Genomic DNA, 17,669 nt, shown 5'->3' on the forward strand with positions numbered 1-17,669 from the left:
TTCCAGTTCCTCTTTCTCCCCCGCAAGTGACATACTCATTGGATATTTGGAAAATAATAATTTTTGTCCCAAAAGTAGAGAATTTCTACTAGTGAAAGTATGCAACCTTGAAATTATTTAATTTTTCCTTCCCAATTTTAAACCGTATTTATTGAACTTTAACCCAAGTTCATGTATACTAATAAAAATATAATCATACACTGTGCATTTGCTAGGTGTGTATAAAGAAAATATTTACATTTACTTTGGAAAAGTTTTGTAGGACTGCAGAAAATTGATTAAGAGCAAAGAACATGCACATCATTTGCTGTAATTTTCTATTATTTGTTCTGTTGAGAATGGCAAGATTTTAATCTTGGTTCATGCTCAGTAAGAACAGATGTAATATAATTCTACCCATGTGAACAAGATGTGACATTTCCCTAAAAGCTCATGCTAAACCACGCAGCACTGATAGCAGAAGCAACGGCGCAGTCTGGAAGCCTGGTGGATTCAGAGCAGATGAACCCAGAGTCTCAGTTCAGAAAATCCAGACCCACGATCCATTTGTCAGTCTTTGAACAAGTTTTTTTTTTTTTTAATTTTCTCAAGCTTGTTCAATATATCCATCCACGTTCCCTTCTGCCTTACATCCCCCCGCTCCGCCTTTTAAAATGCTATTACAAATCAGCTTTTACGTGTTCCCAGTAGCTCCCATCAGCAAGGGGAAGAACAATTAATAAACCTGTACTCATACTACAATTTTGGCTATGTAAAAGCAAATGGGATCATTCTTAGTACTTGTTGGGAAGGAAAAAAACAAGTCCCGTTCAAAAGGATATTAAACTGAAGACTGAATACTACTTAGAGTCAAGAAGATCACAAGAAAAAGGCAAACAATAGTAATCACCAAACTTATTAACAAATTACTATCAAAACAAAGCGGTCCCTTTTTTCTCAATTTACATTAAGGTACACAGGATTTTGCTAAAGTATATAGAATTCAAATAAGAATCTTAAGAAAATTTTCCCAGCAGTAAAAAGTGACACTCTTGGGAATCTTAGGGCCTGAATGCTAAGGACATTAGTGCTATCAGCTGTGAGATACAGGCTGTGGGGAAGTGTATTACCCAAACTTCTCTGAAGTATTTAAGGGCTCTTTGCTTCTCTACAGTTGCCCTTCCTGAAACATTCAGAAGACCCTCAGCCCTCTGATTCCAGAAAACATCTGGGCATGTTGCTGGCCTTATCTACGCCAGTCAAGGTTGAACGCATTTTTAAAGCTAAGCGAATATACTGAGTGGGATTTTTAAAAATCTAGATACATAATAAATCATGGGTAAGATGGAGGAAGAGTCTGAAGGAAGGAAAGAAGAAGGGAGAAAGGAAAATTAAATCACCTCACCACATAAGCATAATCTGTTCCTATCAGGATGAGATGTCTTGCCCCTGAAGAACTTTCCCTGAACGTTTGTCCTAATAAATACAAATTTTGAACAAAGATTCTCATTCTAATATCAATAACACCCAGTTTGCTTTATTTCACTCATCTGTTTGCTTTTGTATAACAAGTGAACAGAACTAAGTAACCCAGAGAACTAAAGCGCCATGCCAAGAAATGACATGTTGATCCTCAACTAGCTTGTGGACAGAGTGTTTCTTTTCTGGTCATTCCTTTCAGCCACTGATATAAACAAATATAATTATCCAATCAAAATTCTGAATGATGAGAAGTTTCCTATGCAGTCCTAAGCATACTGGTTTTACTTTCCATAGTTCAGCAAAAATATTACTGGATTACTGGGGCTTTAAAATGGCCCAAGCTGTAGCCCACAGATCTGCACTAGCTCACAGAATGCCACGGTTTGGTTTGTTTCTGACTATGATCACAGAGTAATACTAACAAAATCTTGCTATTTGAAGGAATTATTAATTTTTGAATTACAATTAGAATACAATTAGATTATTCCACATTACCCAGTGAATTATTATTATAGGTGCCAACATTCACAGTTTAATCCAATGAAGAAACTGAGCCTATATAAAAATAACCACCACCAAAGCAGAAGAAAAGCTACGTGAAGAACTGAACTCAATCTTAATGGTTCCTTCAGATAACTACTCCCAATTGACCCAAATAAACCAATTTACTGGGTCAAGAGAGAGCATGAAGGAACTAAGGACTCTGTTAGAAGTGAGGAAATATGGAATTACTCGTGCATGTAGCATGTATAACATACAGAACAAGCATTTCTGAAAATGTGAGCAGTATCAATAGGTTGGATAACTTTAGCCCCAAAAACTCTACTACTACTGCTTTTTGGAAATAATTAAAAATATCTCAATACAGTTTATAAACTTTGATAAAGTCAATATAAAAGTAATAACATCATATAAACCGGTCTTTTGCTCATTTGAACTCCTGACATGGGGATTATAAGCCATAACAGATTTCTTTTTTCAAATATCTGAAATACAAGGAATAATTTTCTTTAAATGAGTTGCAATATACCAACCAGTATTGGGCTGGTTTCTGTGATTTCCTCTTAATTGGTGGTAGCAGCAGTAATCCTCTAATTCTTAGGATGGACAACTGACTTTTGAATATCTCAGTAATGAGATCTCCATTCTTTGATCTGCTCAAGCCAAAAGCCTTAAGAGGTATCTTGGACTCCTTCCTCTCTCTTTCTTGCATATTTGCATCCAACCCATCAACAGATCCTCATGCTCCTTTCCTCCCAAATATTTCCAGACTCCAACCACTTATCATCCCTACCACCATTACCAGGGGTGAAACGAATATTCCCTCTGGACTACTGCAAGTATTCTTCCTAATTGGTCTCTCCGTTTCCACCCCTGCCCTTCAAGACCATTCCCAACATAAAACTCACTGCAATCCTTTTAAAAGCCTAGGTGGGTAGGAAAGAAGCTGGCCTTGCCGAGAAGAGACATCTGGCCTTTGCCCTCGGCTAGTGGGAGGTAATCTGTGTCATAACTAATAGAAGTGTCCTTGTTTAGGGTGGGGGTTGGCCACACTGGATCTTAGGGTAGGGTTGGCCATATGAGAAGGACCAATCATGTGATTTAGGGTGGGAGCTCTGGCTCACACGATACCAGTAGACATGGTGACGGAGTTCAACTTTGTGGGCAATCAATCAATCAAACATGCTATCTCAGGAAGCTCTAATAAAAACTCTAGACACCAAAAATCAGAAGAGATTCCTTGGTTGGCAACATTCCGTGCGTACGGTCACACATCAGTACCAGGAGGGTAACAATGCCCAGCCTCCATGGAAGAGGAGAACGGAAGATTCACATTAGAACCTTCCCAGACTCTGCCCCATGGCTTCCTTTGGCTTCCTTTGATCTGTATCTTTTCCCTTTAATAAACCATAACAATAAGTGTAACAGCTTTCAGTGAGTTCTATGAGTCCTTCCAGCAAATTGTCAGACCTGAAGGTGGTTTTGGAAACACCCCAAACTTGCAGTTGGTGTGAGAAGTGAGAGTAGTCTTGGAAATCACACCTCACAACTCACAGTTTGGCTAATGCTGGAAAGGTATCAGTCAGTGTATTTTTTACAGTTTTCTTGAAAATTAAGTAAGAGTTTCTAGAATACATGTAATCCTCCTTTTCTGTTGGTTCCTTCTCTGCCTATAAACAGGGTCTACCCTTCAACTCTTTTAAGAGAAAACAAAAGTACCTTGTCTTCTGTCCTCTTTTCTTTCCATTGACTGCCTCTACCCTCTTCAAATCTTCCCAGTAGTCTACAATTCTTAAGGGACTCAAATTTTAATTCTAAAATTCTATCATATTCTTATAAATCTGCTGACAACATGTCTACTACTCCTGGAAGGGAAAGACAAATCAAGAAATATAAAATGTTTTCAAGCAGCACAGCTTCATATTATCCGAGCTGCGTTAGAGATTAAAACAAACAGCAATATTTTGGCCAGAACCATGGTTTCATCCTGAGGCCCCCAACCACTGGCACCTGCTTCACCAGTCTTGATACTGCATACTCCCACAACTGTGCTCATTTTACAAGCTCATTTTATCACTCAGAAAGATTCCACTTGGCTTGGCCACTGTTACCAAAGCCTTACTGTCTTGCTTCAGGCTTCCAAATTTTAAATGGCACTATTTAACATTTGGGCAGATTGGATTCCTTGCCTTATTAGTTAATTACGGGTCGAGTATTCCATACTGGTAGTCTGATATGTTTAAAACTGAAGGGAAAAATTTGTTTTTAAACCAGTATGACCAAAGACTTTATAATGTGAATATTTTAAAATCTCATTTTATAAAGTGAACAAGGGACCCCTCTCAAGAGAAAAAAATTAATAAAGACTTCACAACAGTTGTGCATTATCTTCAGGATAAGGAGCCTTAATGGAATTCAAGATCCTCACATGGGATTCAAGAACTATATGCACACAAATATAGCTTTACTCTTCCTTCAAGAGGCAACAGCTGTTTGTTTTATATACAGACACAGTTTTCTCTGGACAATTTCAGCAGTATCTCAGCACACAGAGTGTAACAGGTCCTTACAAAGCACCATCCTCATCACTTGCAGAGACACTGGCACTACAGAAGTCTCAATGGCCTCCCTACCTTACTCAAACCTCCCACCCGTCTATTTTTCCACTTTGTCCCACTCCATTCCACTGCAGTCAAAGTGATCTTACTCGAAATGCAAACATGATCTTCTGTCATCAATGGCTCTCTTGCATTTTCAGGATAAAGCTGATCATTCTAAATACAATCCACACAAGCAATTTAGTGCAAATTTAGATCATGTCCTCCTTCTCTCCTGATGCAATGAAGGAGGCGCCTATTCTGTGTGAACTCAACCCTTCCACCTTTGCAGGAGCTATTTCAATTACCTGCTTTCCTTCTCTACTAGTGCTTTCCTTTTATTTAAACACATTCAAGTCTCTCCTGACTTGCAACAAAACAAGGTCTTGTAAAGATTTTGACTTTATCCAATTCTCTTTCCACTCTATGCCTTCTCCTGCCTCTCTAATTTTACATCCAGTCCCTTCCCTCTTCACCTTTTACTGTGGCAAGGTCAGAATCTGCACCAATTCTGAAGTGCATCATGCTTCTTTGCATAGGCCTTTGTCGGTTTTTCTCCCTCTGTTCTGAATGCTTTTCCAACTTTTGTTGATTTAACTCTTCCTCACTCATCAAGGCGAAATTCAAATAACATCTCCCCTCTGCAGCTTTCCCTACCATCTCATCCAATGTAAAACTATGTCTGAGAGCATGCAACACATCCTATTCTATCTCCCCACCTGCCTGCCTCTTCAGCTGGGCTGAATTCCTGGAGGGCAGACATTACATTAACTGAAATCATAAGAGTTTCAAAGATCTGTGAAACACCTAAAATTGCAGGCAGTATTTTGTGTATCTTAATGTTTTTGGAGAAAAAGTCTACAGCAAATATCAGTTTGTCAAAGAGGCATGTGACCCCAAAGAAGTTAAAAATTATTGCCCCCAAAATTAGCACAGTATCTAACATATAGTAGACACCCATTATCTATTCAATTGTCATCAAAATACTACAAAGTGACTGCACAGTGGTAAATCAAAATATCTATTTTGGGGTGGGAAGGGGAAAGACAAAATCTTGCTTACAGAAGAATTCTAAATGACGTAGGTAAATACTCCCCAGTCCAGGAGGTGATGCCTAACACCCCACCCACCACAGACACAGATGCACACACACACACATACACACACACACAGAGTCCTTCAGGGTAGGCTACACTTAGGAACTTGCTTCCAAGGAAGATGGGGGAAAAGGCAAAGAGAGTAACTTTACAGTAGGAAACCTGGCAAACAGGATTTTAACCAAGTGACGGAGATGAACCTCAGCCATGATGTCATGTGACTATCACACATGCTCTAATTTGAGGTCATGAGAGGGCACTTCACCTCTGGGGTATTGTTTCCAAAAATCCATAGCCCAGCCTAATAAGAAAAATGTCATACTAACCCAAATTGACAAACATCCTACAAAATGCCTGACCAGCAAGCCTCCAAACTGTCAGGGTGATGAAAAGCAAGGAAAGACCAAGAAACTGTTGCAGCGCAGAGGAGACAGAGACATGACAACAAAACGCAAGATGGTCCACTAGGCTGAACCTTGGAACTGAAGGAAGACACAAATGGAAAAACTGCAGAAATCCAAATAAAGCCTGGGGTATAATACTAACATACCAATGATGGTTTCCTAGTTTGGACAAATGTACCATGGTCACAAACAATTTTAACAGTGGGGGAAGCTGATGAGGTGTATATGGATACTCTGTGCTATCTTTAAGCTTTTCTGTAAACATAAAAAACCTAAAATTATTTTAAAATAAAAGGTATGTATGTATGTATGTATGTATGTATGTATGTATGTATGATTTTTAGAGATGCAGTCTCTCTCTGTTGCCCAGGCTGGTGTGCAGTGGCGTGATCATAGCTCACTGCAGCCTCGAATTCCTGGACCCAAGGGATGCTCCCACCTCAGACTCTCTATTAGCTAGGGCTATAGGTGCATGCCACCATACATAGCTAATTCTTTGGGGTTTTTCTGGTAGAGATGAAGGTCTCACCATGTTGCTGGGCTCAATCTCCCGGTCTCAAGCAATCCTTCCATCTTGGCCTCCGAAAGTGCTGGGATTACAGGCGTGAGCCACCATGCCTGGCCAAAATGTTTATTTCTTAGAGTCTCTTTTATCTAGTTACAAATCTCTGAGATTCCCAGTTTCCAAACTTCAAAGAATTATTAGCAAACAGGCCAGTTATCCAATCTCCATCAAGCGGCATTAGATATGTTATAAAGGGTGTTACACTCAAACCAAAGCAAAAATCTGTTGAGTCAATTGCAATTATGAAAATTATAAATTACAACTTAAAAGTTGGTGATTGGTATCTATTTCTTGATGATGAAGCTTCAAACGTGTAATCAGTGACTTTTCAATTCTGAACCACCCAACTTGCTACATTCAAGCATGGTGTTGTGCCAGGCACCGGGACTCAGTGAGGAGTGGGGAAAGGCAATAATCAATCGTCAGCCATAATGACAGGGGAAATACAGTGTGCAATGGAAGCAGAGAGCAGAAGCATCTAACGGTCTGAGCGAGATTATTATGGAAGGACCAGGAAAAATTTAAAAGTAACACTTAGAATAGGGCCTGAAGGATGAGAAGCACTCGCCAAGAAAAGAGGAAGACTGAGTGTACCAGAGAAAGAAAACAGCATCCACAAAGACTACAAGCAAGAGAACATGACCAGTTGTTCAGGATGGCTACAGCTGAAAGTGCTAGGCAGGGCCTGGCAAGAAATCAGACAACCGGATTTTCACTCTGCTTCAGGAGCTGTGCCTAGAAACTTCGCCTTGAGTTTCTTTAGCTTTCCCAACAATTATGGAGCAACTAAAAACCTTTGTGTTTACTTCATTAGTCGCCATTGAGACCCTGACCAACACAATCCCTCTTATGAAAAGAATCCACCTCCATCAATAGCAAAAAAACAAAACAAAACGTTTAAACACAGGTCTCTGTGCTCAATTCTATTTATACAATCGTATATCCCTCCAGCATGTGCACAGACAGGAATGGCAGGCTTCTAAATGCAAAGATGACGAAACGGACAGACACAGCTAACACAATTTTTTAAGTTCTACGCTTAGGTTCAAGTACATCAAATGCAAAAATATAGGCAGAGATAAGCCTAGGAGAAAGGGAATAATTACCAGAACACTAATCCCACCATACTGCATACAAGCCAAGAACATAAAATGAACCTCTCAGTCTTACCCTTCCTGCAACTGAGGACCCGCTTGCCGGCACTCAGTAGGACACGTGATTAAAAGTGTGGCTTGTGAGGCCAAACTGCATGGTTCTGAAACCTGGTTCTACCATTTACAAGCTGTATGACATTAGGCAAATTACTTACCTTCTTTAAGCCACAGTTTCCTCCTTGAGACAGGTGGACATTAACAGTACTAGCTCATGAATTTAGTTGGCCGTTTCAATGAGTTAATACACATCAGCTGTTACTAACATCCACCATATATTCCCAGAGGGGTACCCAATTCTTTGGGGTCTCAATGACCCTTGTCCTTCACCCTCTAGAAAGCATGTCATCAGAGAATAACAAACATTATCTTCAACTTACTTGATCCACTGCTGCATATAATTTAAGTAAGTCATTCTCAAAACTTACTTTACTAATAACATAGTCTATACAACCCCCAAGTAATGACCACAATGCAGTCTGTTACGACAGCTATGGCAAATACTGACCTAGATCGCGAGAGAAAAGAACAGCTGCTGTCCTCACAGCTGCCCCGCCTCACTTTCTGCTAACAGACGCTGCTTCTGTATGGCCATCAGCTTGCCATGTGCTTTCAGGCAGGCTGGACCCATCCCCATTCCCTACATCAGCAGCATCAGCTTCAATCAGGAACTTGTGAAAAACACAAATTGTCAGTCCCCAATCCAAACTAGAGCAGAAACTCTTCAGGTGGGGCCTGGCAATCTGTGTTTTGATAAGTCCTCCAAGTCATTCTGATGCAGACCAGTCTGAAAACTACTGACCAAGAACCACTGAACTAATAATGGCAACTGCGTATCTCTAAGTTTAGAAATGGGGTATACAACAATTCTAGCCAAGGAGGGGCAACTTCTAGAAATTTTGCTTACTCTTAAAAATGAACACAAAGAAGGTACCTTATCTCTTCTGGCCTTTAGAATGTTGTTGATTAGAGATATGATGCTTAGACCCGCTGCAGCTATCTCATGACCCCAAGGGCAAGCCAAAAGCAGATCCACCACGCTGGGTCCTTGATGGAATCAAGCCGATAAAATAACCAACCAGGAATCTGCACTACCTATAGGAGCTGCTGATATGTGAGATATTATCACATTTCATCAAATGTAAGACTCATCAGTGGTTAAGATGCATCATTATTTTGTTAATCATCGTGAGGAAAAAATGTTGTCAAACAAACTGACACACCATGCATTTAAATGGACCACGTGTCTCAATTTCAGAAATAATCACATATGAAGAAAATGTACGTCAGAAACAAAAAAAAAGTAAATTCCTTATTGTTTCAGCCAGATAAGTAGGGATTTTCTGTTGTTTGCTGCTAAAAACATCACAATTTATTTTTTTAAAAGGATATTATGTTCAATTCTGAGTAGTCAATAAGATGCAGCATATACAGATGATGGACAGGAATAATGGTGAGTCTGAAGCTGAGATGGCCTTTATGGGGAAAAAAAAAAGGAATAATGATGGGGAATCCTGAAATAAAAGGAAGAGACAGTGAAATATTTAGACAAAGAAAATAAATAAAGTTTAGAAGGAGGCATCATAACTGTCTTCCACTGTCTGAGGGGCTCCAATACTGAAAAAGTAGACTTTGTATAGCTCAGATAAAGCGAGGAAAGGCAGACTTTAACCTCTGAATGAAATCTACCAATGTAATGATGCCTTAAAAAATGGTTCACAGGCTGGGCGTGGTGGCTCACGCCTGTAAACCCAGCACTTTGCAAGGCCAAGGCGGGTGGATCCCGAGGTCAAGAGATCGAGACCAGCCTGGCCAACAGGCTGAAACCCCGTCTCTACTAAAAATACAAAAATTAGCTGGGTATGGTGGCACTTGCCTGTATGTAGTCCCAGCTACTCGGTAGGCTAAGCCAAGAGAAACCCTTGAACCCGGGAGGCGGAGGTTGCAGTGAGCCGAGATCACACCACTGCACTCCAGCCTGGGCAACAGAACGAGACTCCGTCTCAAAAAAAAAAAAAAAAAAAAGAAAAAAAAAGGGTTCACACATTCAGAAACAGAATAACTACTTCAAAAATTCAGGGTGTGGCTCCTGTACTGGTTGTGAATATGGGCCCTTCTAACCTTAAGATTTTTAAGATTCCATAATATTATAACCAGATTAGAATAAAGCAAAGTTAAGAGGACTTGTTAAAACATCCAGTCAAATCAAAACTGCCAACAGGAACTGATCTAGGCAGAGTACCTGGTAGAAATTAAATTCAAGAAATCAAAGATATAGGATGGAATTCAAGGAACCAACACAAACGCTTCCGAGTATCTCCCTCCCTCCAATCTAAACTCCTCTGAATGGGGTCTAGAGTTATCTTGCCACCACCAGTACCTACCTTGGTAAGTCTTCTACTCCTTCAAGTGCCTACTCAGTGTCCATATCACAAAGCTATCCATACCCTCTCTTCATTCCTCTCCTCTCCTCACCTGAACCAGCCTAATTCCCGTCTAGTGCCTTTGCTCATGATGTCCCTAAAAACCTAGATTGTCTTTAACTCTTTTCACTCACCCATAACTTGCATCTCACAAACTACAACTGAACTACAACTAAACTCAGTAGGTGCTAACAATGACCACAATGCACACATCATCCCCATGCTGGGGCACACTCACTCAGCAGAGCATGATTTAGTGCCTGGCAGTTCTTTCTTTCAGATGTTTTCATCTTTCTCATATACTGTAAACACTTTCAGTGGCTCCTATAGTTCTTTACTATGTTGGGAGCATTTTAAGTCCTTAGTAAATCTTACTGATTAGTCAGTCAATCACTTTGGAAGCTATCACAGAAACTTTCTTATTATTGGTATTTTAATATTTAATATATTTGTAAAATTATAAAATATTTACTGAAGTATATCATCAGGTACCTGCAACTCAAAATTCTGGTTGGCTTCACTGAAAAAGACGGAAATGAAAGAAGGGTTAGCTTGCCTTTCTAAAGATAAATTTTACTTACTTACCCAGGTTGTAGTGAATACAAGGAACTGAGCAAAATGAGAAAGAAAAAGAAAAGAGGAAGGCCCACCAGAGGACCTTTTCTCATCTCGTCCCACTTCACAGAGTTCTACATCTAGAAAGCAATCCAACTTCATCATATTTTATATGTAAAAAAACTGACCCAGAGAAATAAAGTGATATGACCAAGATAGAAAGCTTTTTATTTGCTTACACAGGGACCCACCTAATTGTAAAAGGAAGCCAAATGTTTTCAAAAGAATTAGCAAAGAAACTATAATCCAAGAGTTAAAGGTAGAGAAAGCTGGGAAAGTTGAGGAGAAGTGGTTGCTGCCCGTGGGCTGTTTAAATGAAACAAGGACTGATCTGCTCACCACAGAGTAAACCCAGGAAAAGCCGCCTTCTCCCCCTTGGCCCTGAAGAGCTACACTCCAGCCTCCCAAACTCACTCCAGCTTTAGGGCCTTAATTTTCCAAATGGTGATATCAGATTCACCAAGGTCACAACCTAGAGTAGAGTAATCGTGATCAATTGTGGAAGGAAAAACAAAACAAAACAAAAAAACAAACAAAAAACTCTCTTTTTTAATTATAATCAAGTACCAGGTAGTTTTGTTTCAAATTTCATTTAAAAGCAGCTAAATTGCAAAGTGAAAATTTTAATAATTTGGCAGGTAAAAATTACAAAACATATTTCCTTCTCCATAAATTACAAAGGAGAAACTTCACTAGTTGTTTTGATTATTTAAAACAGTCCAACTTCTGACTTTCTAAAAATTTTTAAACATTCTTACAAAAGGCCTACTGGTTAACCCAGTAAGGCACTGAACCTCCAGGTTTTAAGACGGTCTGTCAGGCTGACACTTGGGAGCCAGAAAAAGAACTTTGTAAGAAGCCGAAGTGTTTCAATTTAAGCCATTACCACTAACAGTGATGTCACCTCCAATATTCCTATCCTAGCATAGCTACAAGGTAAGAGTGTTTTAGGAGTTCACAGAAATTTTTGCTAATTCATCACTTACCTTATTCTCAGTCTAGCTAATCGTTTTGGACCATGAGCCTGCAAAAATGTCACTTACAGAAAAAGAAAACAGCTCTTCTTTAAAGAGAAACAGGTTATTTTATCCAATTGGTTCTACTTGTACAGGAAAACAAGGAAACTAGAACCATTTAATAAAATAATACCACAGTAAACCTAAAATTATTTTCGAATAAAATCAGCACCATTTAAAATGATCATAAAATCCACAAATTTAATAATAAAAATTGTTAGAAAATATTAAACCATGCTCTGTGAGGGCCAGTCGTAATAATCACCATTCTTTAAACATGAGCAGATTTTAAACATATAGTTTTGCATAAAGTATAAGCATTGCACAGCTTATATTACCCAGAAGAATGTATTATCAAGTATATTTCTATTTGCATTGAGTTCTAACAAATGATTACTGTTGCAGGGAAAATGTGACTGGCACATCAGAGACTTTATCTCTTGTCACCATTATCATTTCCCAAGTCCTCACCTAGAATCAAAAAGCTCACAAAATCCACCAAATCTGCATACACCATGTCTTTCTTTCGTCACATCTGTAACTATTTCCCTGCATCCGCTGGAGATAGGTAACTACGACAAAATGAAGTCCTACAACAAAGTCTAAGGGCAAACATTTAGAAAACTAATAGTGAATAACAAAATATGCACTGAATGTGGTCGAGACACTCAGGAGGAATAGAACGCATTGCTTTGTTGTTTGCGTGGTCTGCTACCCCAGACCACATTTCTACCGCACTGACTTTGTGCTAGGCACTGCCTGAGCACATAAACTCATTTCTTCTTCCTCTGAGGTAAATGTATCATTGTTATCACATTTTACAGTTGAGGAACTGTGGCAAAGAGAGTAGAGTAGCTTGTTCTACCTAGGTCACAGGGCTAAATGAAGGGTTGGAACTTAACTTTGTTCTAAATCTTCTCTGTGGTCCCTGCCCCAGCCCTCACTGGAAAATACATGCAGGCCAAAAGTAGAGAGAGACATCACAAAGACAACCATCCCTCAAACCCAGCTATGTAGCTAACTTCAGACACATGCTTCCAAACAGTAATGTGAGCATGTTTTGGGGGGCCACTCTCATGCTGATTTCAAGTGTACAATCCCCCTGCCTACAGTGGGGAAGATAAACAGGGCCAGGCCAGCACTACTTCCTACCCACTTCCCTTCTGGGTCTGCCTATTCACTGCCAGAAAGTCAGAAGTCAATCATCCCACAGGCTTCAGCTTCAATTCAGGTAGAGCAGTGAGGTTTGAAAGTGCCTCAAGCAGAGCCCACAGTTCTCTGATCCTTTACAATATCACACTCTGTAATTGTGTGGCATAGCAGCCATGCTAGGAACGAGGTCAATTACTTAGGTACTCGCTAGACTTTTTCCTTTTCTCCACCCCTGGGGTCCAGGCTCTTTTCCCAGCACTTACTCAGGGCTGTCATTAGCCCTTTCTCCTCAGTTTCATCGCCCCTGCATTTACGTTATTCTAAGTCTTCTCCCCTATGGGTTCCTGTGGGGAAAATAAAAGATCCGAAAGGGAAAAAAGCAGAAAAGAATGAAATAAAGTGAAAATTCAAGAGGTTCTTGTTTTAAGTCCCTATCTTAAAAGATATATGGCTTTGTCACTTTCAAAAGCATTACATTATAAGGTATGTGGCCAAAACACAATCAATAAACAAACACACGCAGACAGATACAACTAAATACACACAAACATACATGCCACAATAGAGAGGGTCTTTGATTCTTAGGATCCCCCTTTTCTTTTCCATCCATTAATTCCTAACTACACTGTTCTTCTCTAACCATGTAACTATTTCTCAATATCCATTTGTCACATGTAAAATATTCTCAAGACCACTCCTAGCCTTGTATACCTGAGACCTGTCTCCCATACCAACACCATCACTTAATTAAGAAACAATGGCACTAAAGCTTTGCTTACAAATCTGTGAAACAAAGGTCATCCCACCTGCCTACCTTCCCACTTCACCTTACTAATAGGAGGTTTAAAGGAGATATGTGCTTAAGTACACCAAAGAACCAGAGGTACCAACAGGGTTAAGATACGCCTTGAATCCAAGAAAATCCCCTGAAGCAGCATGTCAATACTGAGTAACACAACCATTCCCTAGGCTATCACCTTTTTTTTTTTTTTTTTTTTTTTTTTTGAGACAGAGTGTCGCTTTGTCACCCAGGCTGGAGTGCAATGGCACGATCTTGGCTCACTGCAACCTCCGCCTCCCAGGTTCAAATGATTCTCCTGCCTCAGCCTCCCATGTAGCTGGAATTACAAGTGTGCACCACCACACCTAGCTAATTTTTGTATTTTTAATAGAGATGGGGTTTCACCATGTTGGCCAGGCTGGTCTTGAACTCCTGACCTCATGATCTGCCCACCTCGGCTTCCCAAAGTGCTAGGATTACGGGCATGAGCCACAGTGCCCAGCTGGCTATCGCTATTTTAAGCAAAGAACTGCAGGTGTACTTCTTTAGTTTTAGGGAGAATTTTAACCAAATGATATTTCCAGTTTAAACCTGGACACACAAGGTGAGGGCAATGAGGGATGATGAAGAAGATGGCATGCTCTCTTGGGCATCGGCATCCTTATTTGATTAGCAGAAACCATAATTATAATTTACTAGCAACTCTTTTTCTAGTTTTCCTCTACTCAGTCTTCAAAATAAATGCAGTGTATTAACTCTTAGACTGTACTCCTGAAAAATTAACAGTGAATCCCAATCCAGTATCAAAATGATTCATCAAAGACAGAAGTGGCCAAGGAACACCAGAAAGACACCATACATTCTTGCATCAAAGAGCCTGAAATTCTTGTTGAGATGATCATTTCTAGCTCACGTACAATGGTAGAACTTGTCTTCTCCTGCATATACTGTGTCCTATACTATATCTCACGTTACATGAAGGAACCATAAGTTCTGAAAAAGCCACGTGCAATGACCACTGTTTGATGGATACATTCATGTATATATATATATATAGTTTTTTGGGTTTTTTTTTTTTTTGAGATGGAGTCTCACTCTGTCACCCAGACTGGAGTGCAGTTGTGTGATCTCAGCTCACTGCAACCTCCACCTCCTGGATTCAAGCAAATCTCCTGCCTCAGCCTCCCGAGTAGCTGGGATTTACAGGCGCATGCCACCATGCCCAGCTAATTTTTGTATTTTTTGCAGAGACGGGGTTTTGCCATGTTGGCCAGCCATACTATTCACTGAAGAGGAAAAAGACCATTGAACTATCCTTCATTTTCCAGTGAAGATGTTACTATAAAGTTGTATATAAACCAAATCATATTTATCGCTGCTTTGGGTCATTTCAGGATTGCGTGTTCACAGTGGGGGAAAAATCCCAAAATGTGGCCTCAAGGTGTCATGAAGATCACAAGGCATCTGCTATGGTCTGAAAGTTTGTTTCCCAGCTAAATTCATGCATTAAAACCAAACCCCCAAGAACTGTGAGAGATAAAGGGCCGTTGCTTATAGACAACCTAGTCTATGGTGGGATTTTGTTATAGCAGCCGTGATGGACTAAGACATCACAAAAGATTTTTCAAAAATCTAATATTTAGTGCATTTAATTTAATGTTTATTTAATCTAATATTTATTTATTTATTTATTTTTGAGATGGAGTTTCACTCTTGTCGCTCAGGCTGGAGTGCCATGGCGTGACCTTGGCTCACTGCAACCTCTGCCTCCTAGGTTCAAGCGATTCTCCTGCCTCAGCCTCCCAAGTAGCTGGGATTACAAGTGCCCACCACCACACCAAGCTAATTTTTGTGTTTTTAGCAGAGACGGGGTTTCACCATGTTGGCCAGGCTGGTCTGGAACTCGTGACCTCAGGTGATCCAACCGCCTCGACCTCTCAAAAACTGCTGAGATTACAGGCGTGAGCCACCGCACCCGGCTTAACCTAACATTTAATAGGGAAAATATTAACACTAGTATTCAGCTAATAACTATACCAAAAATACAACAGAAATTGAGGTGATTGCCAGGGAGATACAGGAAGAGGGTATGACAAGTAAGGTGGCATCTGTTGCCTGCAGCGTGTGTGGCGGTGGTAGAAGGAAAGGCTTCTGTGGGTTTTTAAATGGACTACTGCAAGAGAACAAGGCTGACTGGGAGATGTCGAAAAAATGTCAGAGTAGACAATTCCAAGTGCCCATACACCTCCCTGCACCTAAACCATCAAAAAACAAGCACCAACTGTCAGAACTAACTTTGTCAGAACTCTGGAAAACAGTGAAATGCTTACAGCAACCAACTGAACACTGAATCAAGAACTTCAAAGGATAGGAAAGCTTTACGGCATTCTTATTTGCCTTTGCCCTATCTCCTCCCAGTGTGATGGCAGCCCATATTCCAAGAATGGGACCCTGGTCCCTGGTTCCAATAGGAACAAGTAGAACGCATTCATAAATTTTTAGTGACTCCATTCCAACCTGTCAGGGATACTTGACAAGGTTCATGCTTAAAACTCAAAACTCATCCAGGCTGGAAGTGGTTGGCATTGCCCAAAAACAATCCAGACACCTGGGGTCAAAGAGTACAAATGAGACATGCAACACATGACCTGAGGTCTGGGAAGAAAAGACGTGAAGAAAGTTACCTTAGGAAATTAGGGCAATCAAAAGCATCCATATATATGGGTGAAATTAGAAAGCCACACACATGCTCAGAATAAAACCCAGGAAGACCTTAAGCTTTTTCACCTTAGGCTAAATACTAGCCTAGACACAAGTCTGGCTCACTATTGAAGGAGGGCCCCAGCAAAGAGCCAACCTGCAAAAACTGGAAAAAGTATTTTTGTTTGTTTATTTGTTTTAGCTCCTGGCATTCAAGGAAATCTCTGTCAAAACACTACCAGGCTAGGCACAGTGGCTCCTGCCAAGCCTGGGTGACAGAGTAAGACCCCATCTCTTAAAAAAAAAAAAAAAAAAAAAACCACACACAAAAAAAACAGTACCAGAAGATTAACTAAGAAACAGAGACTTCAGTGACCACACAAGACAAGGAATATAATCCCTACAAAAATAGTTGGGAAAAGTCACTTGACAAAAAAAAGAGATACATAAAACCAAAAACAACAAAAAAAGCAAACCTCGGTGAAAGAGGAGACTCTGATTTCCAGAGACACAACACTGTAATTTTCAAACACCCCATTTTCAACAGCAACAAAATCCTAAGGCATATAAGGAAAAAGTATAGCCCATTCAAAGGAACGAAATTAACTGACAGAACATGTCCCTGAGAAGGCCAGACATTGTACTTACTACACAAAGACTTTACAAAGCAACTTTCTTAAATATGCTTAATATCAATATGTTGTTGAAGTTGAGAAGGATACTATATTTGATTAAAGAATAAATTCAATCGGAGATATAATAATTATAAACATAAATGCACCAAACATAGAGTCCCAAAATATAGGAAGCAAGCACTGACACAACTAAAGTGAGACGTAGAAAGCTCTAGAATAATAGACTTCAATACATCCTATTCAATAACAGATAGAAGAACTTGACAAAAGATAAATAGGGAAACAGAGAATTTGTACAACACATAAACCAACTAGATCTAACAGACATATACAGAACATTTTTTCAAACAAAGCAGAACACACATTCTTCTAAAGTTTACATGGAATACTCTCCAGAAGAGACTATGTTTGTCCACAAAGCAAGTCTCAATGAATTTAAAAAGACTGAAGTCATACAAAGTATTGATAGAGAAAGTTAGGTAGTTAGGGTAGGTCCTTGGCAAAACTCCTTTAAAAAGAGAAACAGCCTGAAAAATCAGGCTGCAGGCACAGATAAGAAAACTCGCACAAA

General features: G+C 39.8%; 1 protein-coding gene across 6 annotated transcripts in view, besides 2 other annotated features; it reads right to left on the minus strand.

The window, feature by feature from the left end:
- The window catches only part of XKR6 (XK related 6), a 305,789-nt gene that overhangs the window by 255,086 nt on the left and 33,034 nt on the right, over window positions 1–17,669 (minus strand). The window lies entirely within an intron of this gene.
- Window positions 7,815–8,014: a silencer, noted in NCBI's record as "silent region_18922". NCBI's record gives its function as "represses an Ori minimal core promoter by ATAC-STARR-seq in GM12878 lymphoblastoid cells {active_cell/tissue: GM12878}" and the evidence as "EXISTENCE:reporter gene assay evidence [ECO:0000049][PMID:35858748]".
- Window positions 10,790–10,839: an enhancer, noted in NCBI's record as "active region_27000". NCBI's record gives its function as "activates an Ori minimal core promoter by ATAC-STARR-seq in GM12878 lymphoblastoid cells {active_cell/tissue: GM12878}" and the evidence as "EXISTENCE:reporter gene assay evidence [ECO:0000049][PMID:35858748]".

Source organism: Homo sapiens, chromosome 8 (assembly GCF_000001405.40).
Source record: "Homo sapiens chromosome 8, GRCh38.p14 Primary Assembly".
Lineage (NCBI taxonomy): Eukaryota > Metazoa > Chordata > Mammalia > Primates > Hominidae > Homo > Homo sapiens.